The sequence below is a fragment of the Homo sapiens genome, chromosome 15, assembly GCF_000001405.40.
Source record: "Homo sapiens chromosome 15, GRCh38.p14 Primary Assembly".
Lineage (NCBI taxonomy): Eukaryota > Metazoa > Chordata > Mammalia > Primates > Hominidae > Homo > Homo sapiens.
Window position 1 is genome coordinate 84,939,996 of NC_000015.10, and position 22,332 is coordinate 84,962,327.

At 46.0% G+C, this 22,332-nt stretch overlaps 1 protein-coding gene and 1 pseudogene across 18 annotated transcripts in view; one reads left to right on the forward strand and one right to left on the reverse strand.

Annotated features, from left to right (window-relative positions):
- Nucleotides 1-22,332, forward strand: part of SLC28A1 (solute carrier family 28 member 1) — a 90,988-nt gene that overhangs the window by 55,334 nt on the left and 13,322 nt on the right. For 9 of the 18 annotated variants that reach the window (XM_011522204.4, XM_011522203.3, XM_011522215.3 and 6 more), the window contains 5 exons: nucleotides 3,450-3,531; nucleotides 4,571-4,669; nucleotides 4,761-4,872; nucleotides 9,231-9,280; nucleotides 12,328-12,647. In XM_011522204.4, coding sequence (XP_011520506.1) covers nucleotides 3,450-3,531; nucleotides 4,571-4,669; nucleotides 4,761-4,872; nucleotides 9,231-9,280; nucleotides 12,328-12,482 — 498 coding nt within the window. In that variant the 3' untranslated portion in view covers nucleotides 12,483-12,647. Of the gene's footprint in view, nucleotides 1-3,449; nucleotides 3,532-4,570; nucleotides 4,670-4,760; nucleotides 4,873-5,129; nucleotides 5,804-9,230; nucleotides 9,281-11,084; nucleotides 11,222-12,327; nucleotides 12,648-21,530; nucleotides 21,624-22,332 lie in introns of those variants that run through there. The other 9 variants (NM_004213.5, XM_011522217.2, NM_001287762.2 and 6 more) reach the window with 6 other exon arrangements.
- On the reverse strand, nucleotides 512-1,137 carry HMGB1P43 (high mobility group box 1 pseudogene 43; annotated as a pseudogene).

Here is a 22,332-nt window from a genome sequence, read left to right on the forward strand (position 1 = left end):
CTTCGCATTTTTTGTAGAGACGGGGTCTCGCCGTATTGCCCAAGTTGGTCTCAAACTCCTGACCTCAAGCAATCCTTCTGCCCTGGCCTCCTAAATTGCTGGGATTACAGGCATGAGCCACCACGCCCGGCTCCAGTGGTGTTTAGTTAACAAAACAGCAACTATTTTGTGTAAGCTGCATCAGAGACAACTAAAGATGAAGGCACTACCATCCACATACATAACTAATGTGTGCTGTGTGCCAACAAGAGCCTGCTTTAAATTTCCATGCCAATTTATAACCCCCATACTGCACCAGGCAAGGTTGGTGGCTATTGAAAATACCACCAGGACAGAGTTATCTAAAGACACATTGGGTAGTATGTAACTATGCAAAAAAAAGGACACTGTACAGTTTAAAAACAAATCTTACATGGCCTTACATTTTAATTTATTTCTTTAAAAGGAATGAATTTAGTGTGGGGGGGTTAAATACATTATATACAAAAAAAAAGCTACTAGAACTAGCTTATTCATCATCTTCATCTTCCCCATCTTTCCTTCCCCCTCATCCTCTTCCTCTTTCTCATGTTTCTCCTATTCTTTCTTTTTCTTTCTTTTTCAGCCTTGACAGCTCCCTTATTTTTGCTACATCAGGCTTTCCTTTAGCTCGGTATGCAGCAATATCCCTTTTGTATTTTTCTTCCAGCTTTGCAGGTGTCTTTTTCTAAGGCTGCTTATTCTCCACAGCGGTTTTATAACCACATCTCTCCTACTTTCTTTGCAACATCAACAACGGATAGGCTGGGATGTTCTCCTTTGATTTTTGGGTGATGCTTGGAATAGAACAAGAAGAGGCCAAAGGAGGCCTCTTGGGCGCATTGGGATGCTGGAACTTCTTTTTTGTTTTCCCTTTAGGAAGGATGTAAGTTTTCATTTCTCTTTCCTAGCCAGCCTTGTCCGCCTTTGCCACATCTTCAAATTTTCTTTTCTGTTTAGTTGACATGGTCATCTGCCTCTCTGGCACTTCTTTGAAAGCTCTGAGGAGTTGCCTGAAGCATCTGGGTGCTTCTTCTCGTGTCCCTCCCAACAAGCTTGGACAGGGAGTGCATATAATCACATTTTGCCTCTTGGCTTCTTAGGGTCTCTTCTGCCCATGTTTAGTTATTTTTCCTCAGTGAGGCACAGAGTCACCCAGTGCCTGTCAGCTCTCACTTGACCCAGCATTTGGGATTTGTTTTTTTTTTTTGAGACGGAGTCTCGCTCTGTTGCCTAGGCTGGAGTGCAGTGGTGTGATCTCGGCTCACTGCAAGCTCTGCCTCCTGGGTTCACGCCATTCTCCTGCCTCAGCCTCCCAAGTAGCTGGGACTACAGGCACCCGCCACTGTGCCCGGCTAATTTTTTGTATTTTTAGTAGAAATGGGGTTTCACCATGTTAGCCAGGATGGTCTCGGTCTCCTGAACTTGTGATCTGCCCACCTTGGCTTCCCAAAGTGCTGGGATTACAGGCGTGACCCACTGCACCCGGCCGGGATTTGTTTTTTTTTTAACATAGATTTTATACCAAATATTTTCTTTTGTGATTTCTTCTGTTATTTCTAAACTTATAACGTTATCTGGAAAGTGCGGCTGGGCACGGTGGCTCATGCCTGTAATTCCAACACTTTGGGAGGCCAAGGAGGGTGGGTCACTTGATGCCCGGAGTTTGAGACCAGCCTGGCCAACATGGCAAACAGGAAATAGAAAACTTAGCCAGGTGTGGTAACACACACCTGTAATCCCAGCTACTTGGGAGGCTGAAGCATGAGAATCGCTTGAACCCAGGAGGCAGAAGTTTTCAAAAAAAGGAAAGAAAGAAAAAGAAAGTTATCTGGAAAGTGTTAAATTCGTGAAATAACGTGATGAGATAATTCAGACCATGAGCTTTGGAGTCAGAACTGAGTTCAAATTCTGATACAGCTACCTTCTTGCTGTGTGAACTTCCTTAGTTACTTAACCTCTCTGAGCCTCGGTTTACTCCTCTCCAAAATAAGAGTAATAATAGTACCTTGTAACTATATTTATTATCCTATATTTTCTATCATTCTATACTTAAAATATTAATATTTATCTAGAATTAATTTTTATATAGTGTGAGGGGAGGCTCTATACCAATTTTTTAAATAATTTTTAATTTTTGTGGGTATATAGTAGGTGTAAATATTTATGAGGTACATGAGATGCTTTGATACTGGCATGCAATGTGAAATAAGCACATCATGGAGAATGGGGTATCCATCCCCTCGAGCATTTATCCTTTGTGTTACAAACAATCCAATTATACTCTTAGTTATTTTTAAATGTACAATTAAGTCATTACTGACTATAGTCACCCTGTTGTGCTATAAAATATTAGCTCTTATTCATTTATTCTAACTATTTTTTTGTACCCATAAACCAATTTTGTTTTCAAATTATTTCATTTTGGCTCTTAAAACTTCTTTCTGGGAAATAGGACAGTTGTTAAGAACAAAAGCAAATAACTATTGTGTTTGAACACTTACTGTCTGCCTGGTGTTTCCCATACATTATATAATCCTTTTTACAGCCCTCCCAGGCAACTACTATTATTCCCCTATTCCAGACAGGAAAACTGACACTGAAAGAAGTGACTGACTTCTCAAGCTGATCATTGGTGAGACAATCCTAGAAGCCAGGCTGGCTGGGCTCCAAATCCCTTACTCTTTCCTGTGGGCCATACTCCCTCTCTCAGCCTGAGAGCATTCACAGGAGTGCTGTGAACTGGAAGCCCAGGACTGCGGGGTCAGGGAAGGGGCTGTCCACCAAATGGCCCCAGGACAGAGCTTAGTAGGGCCAAAGCGACAGGACTAACAAAGGCTGAACCCCATCCAGAAAGGCTGGTAATGAAGATTAAAAGGTTGAAGGACAGGCTGGGTGTGGTGGCTCACACCTGTAATCCCAGCACTTTGGGAGGCTGAGGTGGGCAGATCATCTAAGGTCAGGAGTTTGAGACCAGCCTGCCCAACATGGCGAAACCCCATCTCCGCTAAAAATACAAAAAGTTAGCCGGGCGTGGTGGCGGGCACCTATAATCCCAGCTACTCGGGAGGCTGAGGCAGGAGAATGGCTTGAACCCAGGAGGCACAGGTTGCAGTGGGCTGAGATTGTGCCACTGCACTCCAGCCTGGGTGACAAGAGTAAAACTCCGTCTCAAACAAAAACAAAAACAAAAAAAGAAACAAAAAAAGTTGAAGGACAGATAAGAGAGGGGGGCTATGTTTTTGATGTGGTGCAGTTTGAGCCAACTTAGAGGTGGGATTGCAAGGCTGGGGAAGCGGCAGCACAGAGGACTCAAAGGTCAATTACATGTAAGAAGTGGGTAAAATTAAGGCCAGGGAGCCTGGGTGTTATAGGGGTGCCCCAGGCCCATCTGAGGGGAGCCCCTCCTCATGCATCTTCTGTATTTTCAGGTCAGAGCTGAAGTCCTCACGACGTTTGCCCTCTGTGGATTTGCCAATTTCAGCTCCATTGGGATCATGCTGGGAGGCTTGAGTGAGTCTAATCAGGGCCTCACCAGTGTCTAGGAGAGTCTGGGACTTGAACTTGCTCGGGACATGTAGGCCTCAGTTGTCTCATTTGTCTAAAGCAGGACCCAAACAAGATGGCCATAGAGGCCAGGTGTGGTGGCTCATGCCTGTAATCCCAGCACTTTGGGAGGCCCAGGTGGGTGGATCATTTGAGGCCAGGAGTTTGAGGCCAACCTGGCCAACATGGCAAAACTCTATCTCTACTAAAAATACAAAAATTAGCCAGGCGTGGTGGTGCACGCCTGTGATCCCAGCTACTCAGGAAGCTGAACCCAGGCACGAGGATGAGCTGAGATCGCACCACTGCACTCCAGCCTGGGCTACAGAGCGAGACTCTGTCTCAAAAAAAAAAAAAGAAAAAAGAAAAAGATGTTCATAGAGTTTCCTCCTAGCCCTAGAATTCCGATTCTCTGCTGCTGCTGGTGGCCCAGGAAGTTAGCACCTGGGCCTTGAAGGCCAAGCCTGGCTCAGGGGTGGGAGGTGTGGTGCTTGCCTGTCCCCAAGGCTTTGGCCTGCCTGTTCCCACACCCACAGTGGACAGGCAGGCAGGCCTGGTGGGGCCTAAGGTCGAAGGGTCTGCACAGTTCTCAGTTCTTTACAAATAACATTTCCAGTCCTGGCAGCTACACTGCCTGGTGGTATAATCACCCCATTTTACAAAGAAGGAAACTGAGTCTTCATGAAGTGAAGTGGTGGCCCAAGTCACTCAGCTAGTGAGTGGCTGAGCTTGTATTTAATCCCAGGTCTGCCTGACTCCAAACTCACATTCTTTTCCTGCATCTGCCACTCATGGTGTGTAGGGAGATGTGGGGCATTGCCTAGGGGTCCAAGCCAGGCCAAAGAGAACTCCTGAGCTCAGCAAGCTGTCAGGAGGACAACATCTGTCCCTCTGGCCATCTATTAATAGAAGAGGAAGGGAGGTCAGCAGATGCAGCCCGAGCTGCGGAACGCGGGCAGAGAGGGACACAGCTTCCCAGGCCCTGAGCACTTCTGTCCCCTTGCAGCCTCCATGGTCCCCCAACGGAAGAGCGACTTCTCCCAGATAGTGCTCCGGGCGCTCTTCACGGGAGCCTGTGTGTCCCTGGTGAACGCCTGTATGGCAGGTGAGTGCAGGCCTGGCAGGCTCAGAAGGTGGAACCCTGACTTTCTGGCTAGCCCGGGGGCCCTGCCCCACCCACCACTTTCCCTCTACAGGGATCCTCTACATGCCCAGGGGGGCTGAAGTTGACTGCATGTCCCTCTTGAACACGACCCTCAGCAGCAGTAGCTTTGAGATTTACCAGTGCTGCCGTGAGGCCTTCCAGAGGTGAGGGCCTGGGCTGTGGGACCTGCAGGGCACCCACAGTGATAGACAGAATGCCTGAGCGCTGGGGGGGATGCCTTTGGTACCAGGGTGAGGGTAGAAATGTTACGGCTGCAGCTAATGGGGAGGTGAAGGCTCGAGGACCAATGGAGGAAGGGTGGACCAGAGACTTGAAACAGTGTTCCCGGTGTTGCACAGCCTGGTGGTGGCCCGCAGAACCAGGCCTGGAGCTCCCACTGCGATCTTTGCTTTCTTTTTAGCGTCAATCCAGAGTTCAGCCCAGAGGCCCTGGACAACTGCTGTCGGTTTTACAACCACACGATCTGTGCACAGTGAGGACAGAACATGCTTGTGCTTCTGCGCTTCTGAGGGCTGTTCTCCCCCGGGAACCATCTGTCCCCACCTTCCCTTTCCCAGAGCCCTCTTCAGGGAAGCCACAGGACTTAGACCCAGCTCAATCCCACAATTGGGAAGGGTTCATGGAGTGAGTGTGCAGAGAGTGAGTGAGGACATAAGGAAGGACATGTCCCACTCCATCCCCCTTCCTGCTCCCCCATTTCCTAACTCCCCCAGTGTGAATTCTCAGGGTCACTTCTGCCTCCTCCCGTTTCCCCTCCACATCCAAACAGCACCCTGGTCCTCTCTATCCCCCCTCTCCTGGGGTCCCTCACATGCCCCTTCCCTTCTGTTGTGGGCTGCACACCAAAGCCTCCTCCCCTCCCCACTTCCTAGGCACTAGGATCTCTCTGTGGCTTCCCCTGCTGGGTGGTGTCACCTCTTTCTCTGCTTTCAGAGAAACCCTTCCCGCCTTTCCTCAGAGTGCTTCCCAAACTGAGGTCCCATGGCACACTGTCCTGGGAGGCGTTCAGAGGGTTCCATGATGGACTAGGTTTGGAACCACTGGGTTAAATAAACTTAGAGAGGGCTGTTTAGACTTTTGTTTGTTTATTTTTTTGTTTTTTTAACTGTGAACTTGTCAGAGCTTGGTGGTTTTTTCCACATTTACTTGACCATAAAAACCTTTTCACTCTGTCACCCAGGCTAGAGTACAGTGAGGTGATCATGGCTCACTGCAGCGTCAACCTCTCAGGCTCAAGTGATCCTCCCACCTCAGCCTCCTAAGTAGCTAGGATCATAGGCATGTACCACCATGTCCAGCTAATTTATATATAAATACACACATATATATACATACATATATATATATGTGTGTGTATGTTCATATATATATATATATATATATATATATTTTTTTTTTTTTTTTTTTTTTGGTAGAGATGAGGTCTTGCTATGTTGCCCAGGCTAGTCTCAGACTCCTGGACTCAAGTAGTCTGCCCACCTTGGCTTCCCAATGTGTTGGGATTATAAGCATAAGTCACTGTATCTGGCCCATAAGAACCTTTTTGATGGAAGTGTCTCAGTTGAAGATTTTGTGGAATACAACTTGGGAAATATTGGCTAATGTTCAAACTGCTTTACTCTAGGCAACTGTAATGTTAGCAAATGCTTATGTGGCACTGTGTGCCAGGCACTGTTCTCAGCGCTTTATATATTTTAACTCAATCCTTACAACAACTTCATGCAGTAGGTGTTATTATTGTCACTAGTTGAGGAATCGGAGTCGCGGACAGGTTAAGTTATGTGCCTAAAGGGACAGAGCTGGGAAGAGGCAGAGGCAGGATTTGAGCCAGGCCACCTAGTTCTGGGTGGTATAGGGGTGCCCCGAGCCCATCTGAGGGGAGCCCCTCCTCATGCATCTTCTGTATTTTCAGGTCATAACACAAACTGCGATGTGGGGCCTCTCTGTTGGGCTGCTGGTGTTCAGGGAACCCTGATGGGTGGCCCGCCCTCACCTCCCTCGCTGCCTTTCCTCCCCACCCCAAGCCCTCTGTGCCACTAGGTGAGGCCCGATGTCCCTCCCCTGCCTTCATTTCTGGAGTTCCTATCACCAGCATGCCCTCTCCATCTCCCTGCCGCCTGCCCTGCTCCCATCTCAGTTCTCATTTTCCCCAGCAGCTTTGGCTTCCAGGACCTGCGATGCACCCTGCCCTTGTGGCTGCTGGGGCCCTACACCCTCACCCCTACCTGCCAGGTCCAACTTCTTTCCTAGCTGGGGCTGACCCTGACCTAGGGCAGTGGGAGGGTGGAGCCCTGGCCAGCAGTTATTCAGCTCAGCCCCAGTGAGCCAGGTCCTGTTTCTGTTCTGCCACAGACTTTGGTTCCAGTGGGCAGCAGCCTTGCTCCTTGTGAGCCCCACAGGCTGACCTGGGTCCCCATCCTCAGGGCCTGTGTCCTTCCCTTAGCTCCACAGAGTGGAGGCTTGGCCTGACTCCTGTAGCTCCAGCTAGGCTCTTGCCTTCTCTCTGCAGCCCTCCCTCAGTCCTTGCTACCTGCTCCAGCTGCCCTTGGGCTGTGGGCAGGGTGCCCTGTTGATATGGACAACACAGTCCTCTCCCAGGATTGGCCCTCCGCCCCTTCCCTGCCCATATGTTGGCCTCAGCTCCACTAGCTGGGTCATGGAACAGCCCAAGGACTGCCCTTGACCCCCTTCTCTGGACTCCCTGCACGCTCATTCTGTGGCCAGTGGCCTTCCCTAGAAGACTGCAGGCCACTTGAATATAGGGCTCACACTGTACCCTTCTGTCTTAGTCAGTTTTGGCTGATAACAAAATACCATAAATGGGATAGCTTATAAACAACAGAAATGTATTTCTCACAGCTCTTGAGGCTGGGAAGTCCAAAATCAAGGTGCTAGAAGATGCTGTGCCTGGTGAGAGCCAGTTTCTCATAGGTGGCACCTTCTCCCTGTGTCCTCACATGGCAGAAGAGGCTAATGAGATCCCTGGGGCCTCTTGCATAAGGACACTAATCCCATTCATGTGGGCTTTACTCTCATGACCTTATCACCTCCCAAAGACCCCCCCTCCTAATACCTTCACCTTGGGGGCTAGGATTTCAGCATATGAACTTTGAGGAGACATGAACATTCAGACCATAGCAAATAGTAGTGTAAGCTATTAACAAGAGGGGAAAATGGGTGTGGGATATATGGGAGCTCGGTAGTATTGGTGCAACATTTTGTAAGTCTAAACTATTCTAAAATTTAATAGTTTATTTTTTAAATGGCATGGGGAAAAAAAAACTGCGTGGACACAGATGCTGTATAACTTGTAATTCAGCCCATGGGTAACTCTGTCCTAGACAATGCATGTCCCAATAGGCAACATGCCAAGGTCTGTGAGTTGACTAATGGGCTACATTGACCCCCCTTCTGCCCCTTTCTTCCCATGGCCCTGCCCTCACCTCTGCTGCCCCCTCAATTTAATTCAAGCTCATGCCTTCAGCTGAATGTTAATTAGTCCTGACCTCTTTGCAACCACATGAAGAATATCATCTGCTTGAAATTACTTTTGACTTGGGATTAGTGAGCCCTGAGGTTGGACAGGACCTTAAACATCATTTTGAGGGTGTCTACCTCCCCATCCAGCTTTTCTGAGAATGTTTATACCCACTGTATGGATGGCCTCTGTCAACATGTTTTTATGTTTGAGTCATGAGACTCCATTCCCATGAGTGATTTGCTATTGAACCAGGATTGAATGCCTGACTCAGGGCAGGCCAAATCTGTACTCTTGCCAATGGCCTTTTGGATTCTTGGGAAGGAATATGAATTATAAAACCCAGAAACAGAGCTGGGAGCTGAGTCACCACGGTGGGGCTATGGCTTGGAGCTGACCTCATTCCCTCCCTTACTGCAGCCCAGTTGTTCTGCTTTTCCTTGGATTCCATGACAGCCAAATTCTTTCCAGAAATCCCCTCTAACCTAAACTAATTGAGAAGGTTCCTCTTTGTAATGAGAAGGACATTGCCTAGGATAGTCACTTTGTTAACCCCCGATTCTGCTTGAAATCAAGCAGTCATTCATCATTTGCTTAAACCTCATCAAGATAATAACCTCACGCCTCTCATTGCTACTCCACATTGGAGAGCTCCACTTCTGAGAAGGTTCTTTTTTGATTTTGCATCAAAAAGTGTTTTGCTTTGATCCATCCCAGTTTTGCCATTCTGGGCCACTCTGAATGGGTCTCATCTCATATGTATATCTTTGTTGTCCTTTTTCCTACTTACCAAAGTAATACTTGCCCATTAGTTTTAAAAAGTCAAATCTTAAAACTTATAGAAATGGTTTAATCCCTTTTCCACATGACAATCCATCAAGTATTTGAAGATGATGCCCATCCAGGCTTCCCTTCTCTGAGCCAGGCACCCTTAGTTCTTTCAGCTGTTCCTCACATAACACATAGCAGGGTTTCAAAATTTGCTCCAGACCTGATTCGAAGCTGTTCTGAATTTGTGTGCAGACAGTGCATGAGTCAAGAGCAAGTCGAAGATGAAGCCAGAACACAGCATGGTAAATATGATCTCATGGGTGGAACCAAGATGCTGTGATGAGACTAAAGATTGGATATGGTCTTAGGAGGATATTTGAAAGAGGCAGACTTATTAGGAAGGGTGTTTTGCTTTGTTGTTTGTTTTGTTTGAGATGGGGCCTCTGTTGCCTGGGCTGCTGTGCAGTAGTGCAAAAATCCTGGCTTGCTGCAGCCTGGACCTCCTGTGCTCAAGGGGTCCTCCCACCTCAGCCTCCCACCTCAGCCTCCCAAGTAGCTGAGACTACAGGTGTGTGCCACCATGCCCGGCTAATTTTTTTTTTTTTTTTTTTTTTTAGAGATGGCGGGGACTCTCTCTATGTTGCCCAGGCTGGTCGTGAACTCCTGGCCTCAAGTGATTCACCCATCTCTGCCTCCCAAAGTGCTTGGATTACAGGTTTGAGCCACTGTGCCCAGCCTTAGGAAGGGTGTTAAGAAGCTACATGCCTGCTTCAGAAATCCTCAAATCCGAGGGCTTGCATGTTGAGGGTATAATTTGAAGAGCAGTTGTCATTTAGGAGAGAATGAGAGAAAGTCCTGGCCTGGATCATAAAGGCACTATCTCTAGGACACAGCAGGAATGGGGTGGGAAGGACTTATCTACAGGGGTATCCTAATTGCCCACCACCAAGGAGTGCAACAAGTTCCTACCTTGCCTGGAGGTTGCTTTCCATTTCCTGAGTGAGAGAAACTGCAGCTTTGGATGAAGTTCTGACAAAGATATGGAATGGTGGAATGGGGACAATTTGCCAACAGAGACTTTGTCACTGGCAGGGATGGGGAGGCAGCACAGCCAGGCGATTGTCCCACACTTGAGAATAAAGCCATTTAGGAAAGAGACTCTGCAAGGAAAGGCAGCGCTTGGATTGAACCCTGTCTCTGCTGGGCAAAATATCCTAATGAGGAAGGAAAGGCAGAGGCAACAAAAGAAATCAACGTGGCTATGAGTGAATAGCAAGGATCTCATTCATAAACTCAAAATTTTAAAATATCAGGCACCAACATCAGGCTGAAGAACACTTGACCCGTGTAGAAAGACAGCTGGCTGTCCTCCAGTCGCCAGTCTCCTTTTTTTTTTTTTTTTTTTTTTTAGTAAAAACTGACAATCCAGCTGGGCATGTGGCCACTTACAATAAAAACTACATTTCTCAGCTAGGCGCGGTAGCTCAGGCCTGTAATCCCAACACTTTGGGAGGCTGAGGTGGGAAGAGTTCAAGATCAGCCTGTGCAACATAGTGAGACCCTGTCTCCATAAAAAATAAAAAATTAGCTGGGCATGACGGTGTGTGCAAGCAGTCCTAGATACTCACGAGGTTGAGGTGGGAGGATCACTTGAGCCTGGGAGATTGAGACTGCAGTAAGCTGATAGCACCACTGCACTCCAGCCTGGGTGACAAGAGTGACTCTGTCTTAAAAGAAAAAGAAAAAGGACTACATTTCTCAACCTTCCTGGGTTAGGGGTGGCCATGGTCTGGCCAGTGGGGTGTGAGCAGAAGTCCAGTAGGCAGCCTCCCATCATGCCCTTGGAAGAGGGTTCTGTTGACTTTTTCTTAAGGGTCAGATAGTAAATATTTCAGCTTTCGTGGGCCATATTGCCGTGTTACGACTACTCAACTCTGCACTTGTAGTTGAAAGCAGCCATAGACAAACAGAGTGGCTGTGTTCCGATAAAGCCTGTTTACAAAAACAGGAGGCCAACCTGCAGGCTGTGGTTGCTGACCCCTGCCTTAGATAAATGGGGGCATCCCACACGTTCTTGGTATATTTCACATTTTTGCTCCATGCTAGTTGGAATGCAGATGGGAAGGTGAGCAAGCTTGGACCATGAAGACAAAGGCAACACCCGAGAGATGGAGCAGCTTCAAGTTGAAGGGAGCCTGAGGCCGTGGCTCGCCTCTGTAGTCCCAGCACTTTGGAAGGCCAAGGTGGGCAGATCTCTTGAGCCCTGGAGTTTGAGACCAGCCTGGGCAAAATGGTGAAACCCCTTCGAGAAAAATTAGCTGGGAATGGTGGTGGGCACCTGTAGTCCCAGCTGCTTGGGAGGCTGAGACAGGCTTGAGCCTGGGAGGTGGAGGCTACAGTGAGCCATGACCCACTGCACTCCAGCTCAGGTGACAGAGCGAGACCCTGTCTTAAAAAAAAATAATTAAAAAAAAAAAAAAGAAGGAGTCTGGGGTCCTGATGTCTTTGCAGAGCAAGACTGCCACGACAGCACAAACTTTATGTGAGAGGGGAATAAGTTTCTATCTCCTTTATGTTATTATTTGGGATCTCTTATATGAGCCTGCTAGTAGACAGGAAGAATAAGATAGGTGGCAAGAAGGAGCAGATTTGCCTCTTTCCTGCGGGGATCCTGATGAACAAATGGGAACAAGCTATTATTAACAAAGTGCCCATCATCCCTGCCTGGCACTCCTGGTTCTCTGGTAACATGGGGCTGGTACATTCACCTGGAGTCCTAAATGGGCCCGCTCCTTCTGACAAAGTCTAAATCTGAAACATACCTCCCACTGGCCACCAAGACTTCAGAGAAAAAAGAGAGACTCCTGATACATATCCGAGGGGAAGTGGAAAGAGAGCCAGATGGCCAAACTGCAAAGTTTTCCAATTTAGCTTCATGATGGGAAAACACCAGAGACAGAAGGCAAGGCGAGGCAAGGGAGGCTCACAGCAGTTTCCAGCCTCAGGCTTACAGAAGCAGGAGTCGGCAGAGGTCCATGTGCTGTGTATAACCTTTCAACACACAGTGACCTGATCCACTGGTAAGTGTGGCCCAGTCTACCCACTAAGATCCGTGTTCCCTCCCCTTGAAGAACAGCAAGGAACTAGAACAGGAGCTAGAAGAAGGACAGGCTTCTCAGGTCCCCATCCTGCTCCCCTCCCACCTGCCAAACACTGCAAATTATGTTGAGAGCAAAAAAGAACAAGGAAGAGATGATCCCACAAGGACTGCTTGGAGCAGTTTTCTCATCCTCACACAGGCTGTGTGGCTATCTGCTCTCTATACAGACATCTTTCCTATCTTTCCAAGGTGGGACTCATTTCTCATCTACAAGTAAGAAGGCAGTAACCCACAGATCAAGACTGCCAACCAGATGGACACACGAAATGCTGCTACACACTCTCCTACACGTCAGTAAATTCCTTGCATCCAATGACTCCATGTGCTTCAGTGACGGACCATGAGTGAGCCTGACCAGGCTGGAGATGCCACCACGCAGGTTACTTCCTCCACTCAGCCCCAACTGACAAAGGACACATTTTTATCCCAGCAAAACTTCTGTTTTTCTTTTTCCAAGAAAACAGAAAAGTCGCCGGGCACGGTGGCTTACGCCTGTAATCCCAGCACTTTGGGAGGCCGAGGCAGGAGAATCGCTTGAGCCCGGGAGTTTGAGACCAGCCTGGGCAACATGGTGAAACCAAGTCTCTACAAAAAAATACAAAAAAATTAGCCAGGTGTCGTGGTGCACGTCTGTAGTCCCAGCCACTCCTGGGAGGTCGAGGCTGCAGTGAGCTGTGATCGTGCCACTGCACTCCAGCCTGGAGAACAGAGTGAGACCCCGTCTCAAAAAATAAAAAAAATTTTTAATAATAAAGTATAAAGAAAAGTTATTTAAAGATAGAAAATTCACTTTATAAACAAAAGATTGCTTTTATCCCTTGAAACTTCCTTCCTCAATAAGATTCTTTTCTACTTTTAGAGGAGTCCATTGTTTATATTACCAAACTATTCTTTTCAATGCCATCGCATCAATTAGAAGACAAATAAGCTCCATCAAAGCATACAGCTTTCAAGGGATCTTTTCTTGGGCAGTGCCCAGAGGGCAGATATTTCTAATCTCTAATCCTTTTTGGATCTGGGGCATGTCATTATTTCAGTGTCAGCTGCTCTGAGCCAGAGTGTGGCCCGATGCTGCAGTCTGGGACCAGGGTCCTCCAGGTAGGCCCAGAACCCAGAGGTGAGAAAGTCTAATGGCTGGTATGGAAAAGACAGGGCCTCCTTCTGAAAAGTTCCGTAACTCGGTGAATCATCTTCAATGACTTAAACTGTTAGGAGTCTCAGGAAGTTCATGTCAAGAGCTCTCAACAGCTGGTGGGTTTTATCACTTAGAGGTGTGTCACTGTAATTAATTGATTCCTTTATAACAGTGGAAAGCCTGAGCCAGGTGGCTCACACCTGTAATCCCAGCACTTTGGGAGACTGAGGCTGGAAGATTGCTTTGAGCCCATGAGTTCAAGACCGGCCTGGGCAAGATAGCGAGACCTTGTCTCCACTAAAAATTTAAAAATTAGCCCAGCATGGTGACAAGCACCTGCAGTCCTAGGAGTCTGAGACAGGAGGATTGCTTGAGCTCAGGAATGTGAGGCTACAGTGAGCTGTGATCACACCACTGCACTCCAGCCTGGGTGACAGAGCAAGATGCAGTTTCAAAAATAAATAAGAAAAGTAGAAAAATATAATAGTGAAAGTACTGGAGTTTATGAATGATTTACCTCATTTGTAAAAAATGTATAAATCAGAGGGGTATATTACTTAGGATTCTTTTGGTTGCAAATGACAGACAACAAATCAAATAGCTTAGGAGAAGAGGAATGTATGGGCACCAGGAGGGATGAGGGTGTAGCTGCAGGCAGCTGGGCCTGGGGACTTCATGACTCTAGGGCTCTGCCTACCGCTGAGTTCCTGCTTTTGTTGTGTTTGTGTCTTCCTGCACTGTGACCTCCTTCTACTGAATTGGATTTCTCCATAAGACTGGACCATGGCCATCAGAAAATCATGGGTTCATATATTAGCTTGTTTTCCTGATAGCTAGTTGTGGCAAAGAAAGCAAACCTCCAAGAATGTGATTGATCTGTCAGGGACGTGTGCCCTCCTCCAGACCCATTGTTGAGGCCTAGAAAATGGGATAGGGTGATCAGTGTGGCCTGGCTCTTCTGCCCACCCCTGAAGCAATCACTGTGACCAGGGAGGTAGAAGCTGGCAGCTCCTATTTGAACAGAAAGGGAAGGAGGAGCAGTTTCCCACGAGATCGGGGGTGTTGTTTCCTGATGAAAGCAACCATTCTTTCCATTTATCTATAAAGATTTCAAATGATAGCATATCTTCAAAAATCTGAGATAATAGAAATAATGGAAATGTAGCGCTTGAAATAATTTAGGGAAAAAGGGACTAACGTTTTCTGAATGCTTATTGTGAGACAAGTTATTTGCATATGCTGTCCGTGTAATCCTTAAAAACAAACAAACTATGTGAGGTAGATATTATTATCCCCATTTTACCAACAAGGCAACTGAGACGTGGAGAAGTGAAGTGGTTTGCTCAAGGGCACACAGTTCAGCGGCTGAGCCAGGTTTTGAACCCAGTTCTGTTTGGTTTTAATGCCAGATACTTAACCATTGTAGCACGTTGGCTTCCTCATTGATCTGCCTAGTAAACAGGTATATGATATGTGTAAAATACTTTACATTATTTTTATTTTAATTAATAATACTGAGTCATTGTGGTATTTTTATGACATGGCTGCAAATTTTCTAACACTCCTCCCATGAAGCAGTCAGATCTATGTCCTCTCCCTGTTAATCTGGGCAGGCTTGTGACTGCTTTGAGAAAGACGGCATGGTAGGAATGATGCCATGTGACTTCTGAGGCTGGGTCATGAAAGCCCAGGCAGTTTTGGTCTTGTTCGCTGGGACACTCACTCTTAGCACTCTGACCCACCACAAAGAAAGAGTTCTCCCTGCTCTGTGGCTGCCACGCTGTGAGGAACCCAAGTCATCTGGAGGAGTAACATGTAGGCACCAGGTCAACTGTCCCAGCTGAGCCCAGCCTGCAAGTCATCATAGCCCAAGTGCCAGACACGAGCGAAAAAGCCTCTGGGTGGTTCCAGCCCACAGCCATTCGAATCTTCCCCACTGAGGCCTCAGACATCATGGAACTGAGACAAGCCATCCCCTTTGGTGCCCATCTAAATTCCTGAGACAGTGAATCCGAGAGCATAATGGATGGTAGTGGTTTTATGCAACGGGTTTGGGATGTTTATTCCATAGCAACAGATAACTGGAAGAGCCTCAGAACAGCAATCAAAGATGTCTGACCGTGAAGCATCTGGAATACAAGAAGATGAAACTGAGGAACGCTTTGCATCAGTAAAGTAGCAAAGTCATGATTTTTCCCAATACAGAAGCTCTTGGAACACTCGCGCTGCAGTCTCCCTTCTTCCACCAGGTGGGGTGGATGCATTGGTGGCTGCCTCCACAGCAGTTCCTCACGGAGCAGTGGAAGACTGGGTTTCTTTGGTTCAGCGGGACTGTGGCTGACCCCACCCCAGCTGGGATCCCTGGCTGCGAGGCTGCAGAGCACAGAGCCCCAGGAGGGCTTCGTTTTGGCTGCTGCTGGGAGCCTCTCCCTTTTGTGGGGGAGGTCGGTGCCTCTGAAGGAGGATAGAATCTGAAAACATATTCTCCTGGCAGGCTCTACCATCCCACTGCACTCCTATCAGGGTTGTGGACAGGAGGAGTCACTCTCTGTGTAATGCAGCCCCCTAGGTGCGGCTCAATTTTCCCTCCCATTGGACCTGAGGTAGGGGCATTGACCCCAGCCTTCCTGATCAAGGGATAGGATCCACAGCGAACCCCCAACTTCCTCCTTCCCTCTCCACATTTCCTTTTTCCCTTCCATTCAAATCAAAGTACAACAGATACTTGATTTTTAAAGTCAAATGGTACCATAGTTATATCAGCAACAATAACAGGAAAACATTTCGGTAATTCCCTCCCCATCCCTGACTTCTCCCCTTCAAACTCTTTCAGTCATTTCTGTTACTTACATCCATATTTCTAAGTAATGCATCCATACTGCTATTTTCTCAAATTAGTGATTTTAGATAGTGCCTTTTTACTCCCCATTACAGAAGATGAAGCATTAACTCTTTCATACCACCCCATATTCCATTTGTCCTCCCTTTCTCCTCCCAACATGGTAATATACAACTTTCAGAAAAAGCTGTATTCCATTAATGTGTTTCTGTCTGATTATGGCTATAAGACTTGTGCATTGGTGAGCCATGGAGCATATTATCATTACATTTCCTATCTTGCGCATTTTTCTCTCTCCCTTCCTTCCTTCCTTCCTTCTTTCTCTTCCTTCCTTCCTTTCTTTCTTTCTTTCTTTCTTTCCTTCTTTCTTTCTTTCTTTCTTTGTTTCTCTTTCCTTTTTCTTTCGACAGGGTCTCACTTTGTCACCCAGGCTGGAGTGCAGTGGCACAATCATGGCTCACTGCAGCCTCAACCTCCCAGGCTCAAGAGATCCTCCCACCTCAGCCTCCTGAGTAGCTGGGACTACAGGCGCACACCACCACACCTGACTAATTTTTACTTTTTTTTTTTTTTTTTTAATAGAGATAAGGTCTTCCTGTGTTGCTAAGGCTGATTTCAAACTTCTGAGCTCAAGCAATTTTCCTGCCATGGCCTCCCAAAGTGCTGGGATTACAGACGTGAGCTACTGCACCTGGCCTCTTGCACATCTTGTTCCTTCTGAACATATCACCATAATTCTTCTAATTTAAGACAGTAAGATGTGCCATTTTTTATGTACCACTAAGAAAGAACACTCCCAACTAAACTGTGACACTCCATTGTTTGTAGGATGCATCTCCATATCAGAAATGTTAAAATGTGAAAAATTTATGCATTTTCAAATCCATATACCTTGTTTTTTTGTTTTTGTTGCTTAGATTTCTTTTTAACTGTCATTATTTCTTCCCAAATTTGTTAAGAAAATTATTTTTAATTTTTAAACAACTTTATTGACATATAATGATATACTATAAAATTACCCTATAGTGTAAAATTCAATGGTTTTTAGTATATTTAGTTGTACAGCCCATCACCAGAATCTATTTAAGAATATTGTCATCACCCGAGAAGTCATTCCCCAACTCCATTCTTTTGCACGTAGTTTTTTGTTTGTTTGTTTTGTTTTGTTTTGTTTTTTGAGACAGAGTCTCACTCTGTTGCCCAGACTGGAGTGCAGTGGCGCAGTCTCCACTCACTGCAACCTCTGCCTCCTGGGTTCAAGCGATTCTTGTGCCTCAGCCTCCTGAGTGGCTGGGAGTACAGGCGAACGCCACCACGCCCAGCTAATTTTTGTATTTTTAGTAAAGACAGCATTTTGCCACATTGGCCAGGCTGGTCTCAAACTCCTGGCCTCAAGTGATCCACCCATCTATGCCTCCCAAATTTCTGGGATTACAGGCATGAGCCACCATGCCTGGCCGACAACACTATTCTCTCTGATTGAATTGTTTTGGCACCGTTGTCAAAAATCAATTGACCATAATATGAGGGTTTATTTTTGAGCTCTTAATTCTATTCCATTTATCTGTAGTCTATCCTCATGCCACTACCACACTATTTTGATTACTGTAGCTTTGTAGGAAGGTTTGGAATCAGGAAGTATGAGTCTTCCATCTTTGTTATTCTTTTTAAAGATTGTTTAAGCTATTCTAGTTCCCTTGCATTTCCATATGAATTTTAAAATCACCTCATCAATTTCTGCAAAAAACCCAGCTGAGATTTTGATAGAGATTGCATTGAATATGTAGATCAATTTGAGGGGTACATCCAGTTTAAAATATTAAGTCCTCTGATCCATGAACATGGGATGCCTCTCCGTTTGCTTAGATCTTCTTTAATTTCTTTCAACAATGTTTTGTAGTTTTCATTGTACAAGTCTTGCACTTCATTTATTAAATTTATTCCTAAGTACTTAGAATTTCTGAAGAAAACAGAATTGTTTTCTTCATTTTGTCATTGGATTGCCCATTGTAGAAATATACTTGATTTTTGTATATTGGTCTTATATCCAGAGAAAATTGTTTATATATATAAATCCGCAAGCTCTGAGAGCTATTTTCTATAAGGTCCTATATCTGATTCCCTCTTTTCCCGAGATGTTCCTTCTGGAACCCTGTGTTATCTTATTCCACCTGGTTCTCTTCAGGCCTGCTGCTGCTCAGCTGTCACCCTGGGACTTGCTTACACCTCTCTTGGGTGGATGTCCTATTTTTGGAACCCTTGTCTTTCTCTTTCTTGGGTTATTCCCTCATTTTGGTAGAACACCTGAGAAAGTATACACAAGAGATCAAATTTTGTGAAAAATTGCATATCTGAAAATGTCTTTATTCTACCATCACACTTGGTTAATAGCTTAGTAGGGAATATAATCTAGGTTTGGAAATCACTTCCTCTTACAGTTTTTTGTTTGTTTGTTTGTTTGTTTGAGGCAGGGTCTCATTCTATTACCCAGCCTGGAGTACAGTGGTGCAACCGTAGCTTACTGAAGCTTTGGTCTCTCAGACTCAAGCCATCCTCCCACCTCAGCCTCCCAAATAGCTGGGACTACAGGAAGGCACCACCAAACCTGGTTAATTTTAAAATTTCTTTTATAGAGATGAGATATCATTATGTTGCCCAGGATGGTCTCAAAATTTTTTTTATTTTATTTTTATTTTTTGAGATGGGGTCTTGCTGGGCATGGTGGCTCATGCCTGTAATCCCAGCACTTTGAGAGGCTAAGGTGGGTGGATCACTTGAGGCCAAGAGTTCAAGACCAGCTTGGCCAACATGGTGAAACCTCATCTCTACTAAAAATACAAAAATTAGCAGGGTTGAGTGGTGCACACCTGTAGTCCTAGCTACTCGGGAGGCTGAGGCAGGAGAATCGTTTGAACCCAGGAGGTGGGGGTTGCAGTGAGCCGAGATTGCGCCATTGCACTCCAGCCTGGGTGACAGAGTGAGGCTTCATCTCAAAAAAAAAAAAAAAAAAAAAAGAGATGAGGTCTCACTCTGTCACCCAGGCTGGAGTGCAGTGGCATGATCACAGCTCATTGCAGCCTCGACCATCCCAGGCCTAGGTGATCCTCCCACCTCTGCCTCCCAAGTAGCTGGGATTACAGGCCTTTGCCACCATGCCCAGCTAATTTTTGTATTTTTTATAGAGATGGGGTTTTGCCATGTTGGCCAGGCTGGTCTCAAACTCCTGGCCTCAAGTGATCTGCCCACCTCGGTCTTCCAAAGTGCTGGGATTACAGGCATGAGCCACCATGACCAGTCAGGGAAGTTTTATATCCTTTCTTTGTTAATTTTCTCTCTTTCATTTTCTCTATTTTCTCTTTCTGAAACTCCTTTTTTTTTTGTAATGTTAGACCCTCCGAATTTATCTTCGAATTTTTTTACCTCTCTTCTCTTATTGTTCTTTCTTTATAATTTTGTTTGCTTTCTGAAAATTGTCCTTAAGCTTGTCTTCCAACTTTTCTATCAACTTGTTTCCTGCTATCATAATTTTAACTTTCCAAAGCTCTTTCCTCATGGTTGGGTTTTCTTTGTTTCTAATATGCCCTTCCTGTTTCATGTGAGTAATATCATTTCCTGTGTCTCTGAGAATATTAATAGTTTCAAGGCATTTTTCTTTGTCCATGTGCATTGTCTCTGGACCCTCCATTCCTTTTTGTTTTGTTTGTTTTGATCTCTGTCTTCCATATTAGATTCTGTCCTCAAATCTATGGTGATCCTTTGTTTTACGTTCATACGTAACAATGAGTCCCTGAAGAGTTGCTTAAACACTGAGGAGTTGGGGAGGGATAAGGCTTATCAACTAGTGTATCTTACTGTGAGATAACTGGGCTGAGACCATCTATTTCAATGGGGGGAACTCTTGGATTTCAGTACCTATAAATCTATTTTCTGGGGTCATGATATTTCTCCAGAGAAGAATCTTCCAGTCTCCTGCCTGGAGAGGGCACACATAGGGTAGAGAAAATTCCAGGAATACAGTGGCACAAAGAGGGAGGAGGTGGTGCTGAACATTCAGTTTATAAACTCTCCCGTAATCTTTCTTTAAAATACAGAACATTTTCCACTCCCCTGTGCCTGCCTGCTTTTTTTTTTTTTTTTTTTTTTTTTTTTTTTTTTTTTTTTTTTTTGAGACAAGGTCTTGCTCTGTCGCCCAGGCTGGAGTACAGTGGCGCAATCTCAGCTCACTGCAACCTCCGCCCCTGCTGAATTCAAGAGATTCTCCTGCCTCAGCCTCCCAAGTAACTTGGATTATGGGCATGTGCCACCATGCCCGGCTAATTTTTGCATTTTTAGTAGAAACAGGGTTGCACTATGTTGCCCAGGCTGGCCTCGAACCCCTGTACTCAAGCGATCCACCTGACTCGGCCGGCCAAAGTGCTGGGATTACAGGCATGATCCACTGTGCCTGGCCTGTGCCTGCTTTTCTGATTCAATATCTCCATAGGATAAAACTCCAGTTTCCTGTCAGAGAAGAAAGAGCCACCTGGATGTGGGTGATGGGCAGGTGGGCCTGGGGCTCTAGGCTTTCAACTCCGCTTCCTGTTTTCAGCCCCACCTTCGCCCTCGCTTTTGCAGTAATAGGTGCCTCCAGTTCCTGAGCTTCACAGTTCAGCTTTATCAGCTCTGCTTCCAAAACTGTGTTAACATTCCTTATCTCTCCTGTTGCTGCTCTCACTCTCTTAGTCCTTATTGCTTTATAAATCTTTTCTTTCTTTCCCCTTTTTTTAGTGGAGTTTTGAGCGACAACAGTGCTAACTACAGGTGCTCTCAATTCAGCATGTTTAACTGGCTGATCCTGAATTGGCTTTGCAGGGACAGAATAGCAGGGTGAGGGAAAGCCTGGGCTTTAGAGCCAGACACATACATGGTTGAGTTCCGGCTCCACTTCTTCACATCCCTGTGTGTCCTCGGGCAAGATAATTTCAGGTTTCTCATCTGTAAAATGAGAATATCACCTCCGAACTCGTAGGGGTGTTGTAAGCATTAACTCTGATAATGCAGGCATTTTTGCCTAGCCTTATCTGAATGCAAGGCCGTGCTCTGAACCATCCAAGCAGCCTGCCTCTTTTGAGAACAGCGTGACTCAGAAAGGGGCTTCTCTTTTCAGCCTGGATTTCAGGATAAAGAAATGCATGGAATAGAGCCGCAGCAACCTCAGGTGACTCATTCTGTGAGTGAGAGAGAATTTTTTTTTTTTTTTTTAGAGACAGGGTATCACTCTGTTGCCCAAGCTGGGGTACAGTGATATAATCATGGCTCACTGTAGCCTCAACCTCCTGGGCTCAAGGGATCTTCCTACCTCAGTCTCCCAAGCAGCTGGGACTACATGTATGTGCCGTCACACCTGGCTAATATTTTATTTTATTTTATTTTTTGTAGAGACGAGGTCTTGCTATGTTGACCAGGCTGGTCTTGAACTCCTGGCCTTAAATGATCCTACTGCCTTGGCTTCCCAAAGTGCTGGGATTACAGGTATGAGCCACTTTGCCTGGCTGAGAGATAAATCTTGATGGTCGTAAGACACTAAGATTCCGAGACTGTTACGGCAGCATCATTTAATGACAGTTAATTAATACAGCAGCAGTTTAAGGTGGTCCAAGTACTCCAAGATGTTGGGTGAGAGAAGCTCATGCCAGGTAAAGTCACTAACTAGGTGAGACAGCCAGGAAGAGTTTGGGATTCACAACGGCAGCACCTACGACAGAGATACTGCCCTTCATCAAACCACTGGGGCAAGATGATTCATTGAAATGTTACCCTGTGCTCATTTGGTTTACATTTGCTCCTCCCCTGGCTCTTTCAAGCAGAGAGTGAGTCCCTTGGTGTTTCCTTGCCTTGGGTATTTCTGGTGGTCAGAGCATAAAAGCTATCGGAAGTTGGTGGGTCTTTCTGTCTTTTGCAATAATCTTGACCTAAATTTTTTTTTAAATTTCTTAATTATTTTTAGAGACAGGGTCTCACTCTGCCACCCAGGCTGGAGTGCAATGGTGTGATCATAGCTCACTGAAGCCTCCAACTCCTGAGCTCAGGTGATCCTCCCGCCTAAGCCTCCAGAGTAGCTGAGACTACAAGTGCTCACCACCATGCCCGGCTAATTTTTCTTTTTTGTAGAGACAGAGATCTCGCTATGTTGCCCAGGCTTGTCTCGAACTCCTGGCCTCAGGTGATCTTCCCTTCTCAG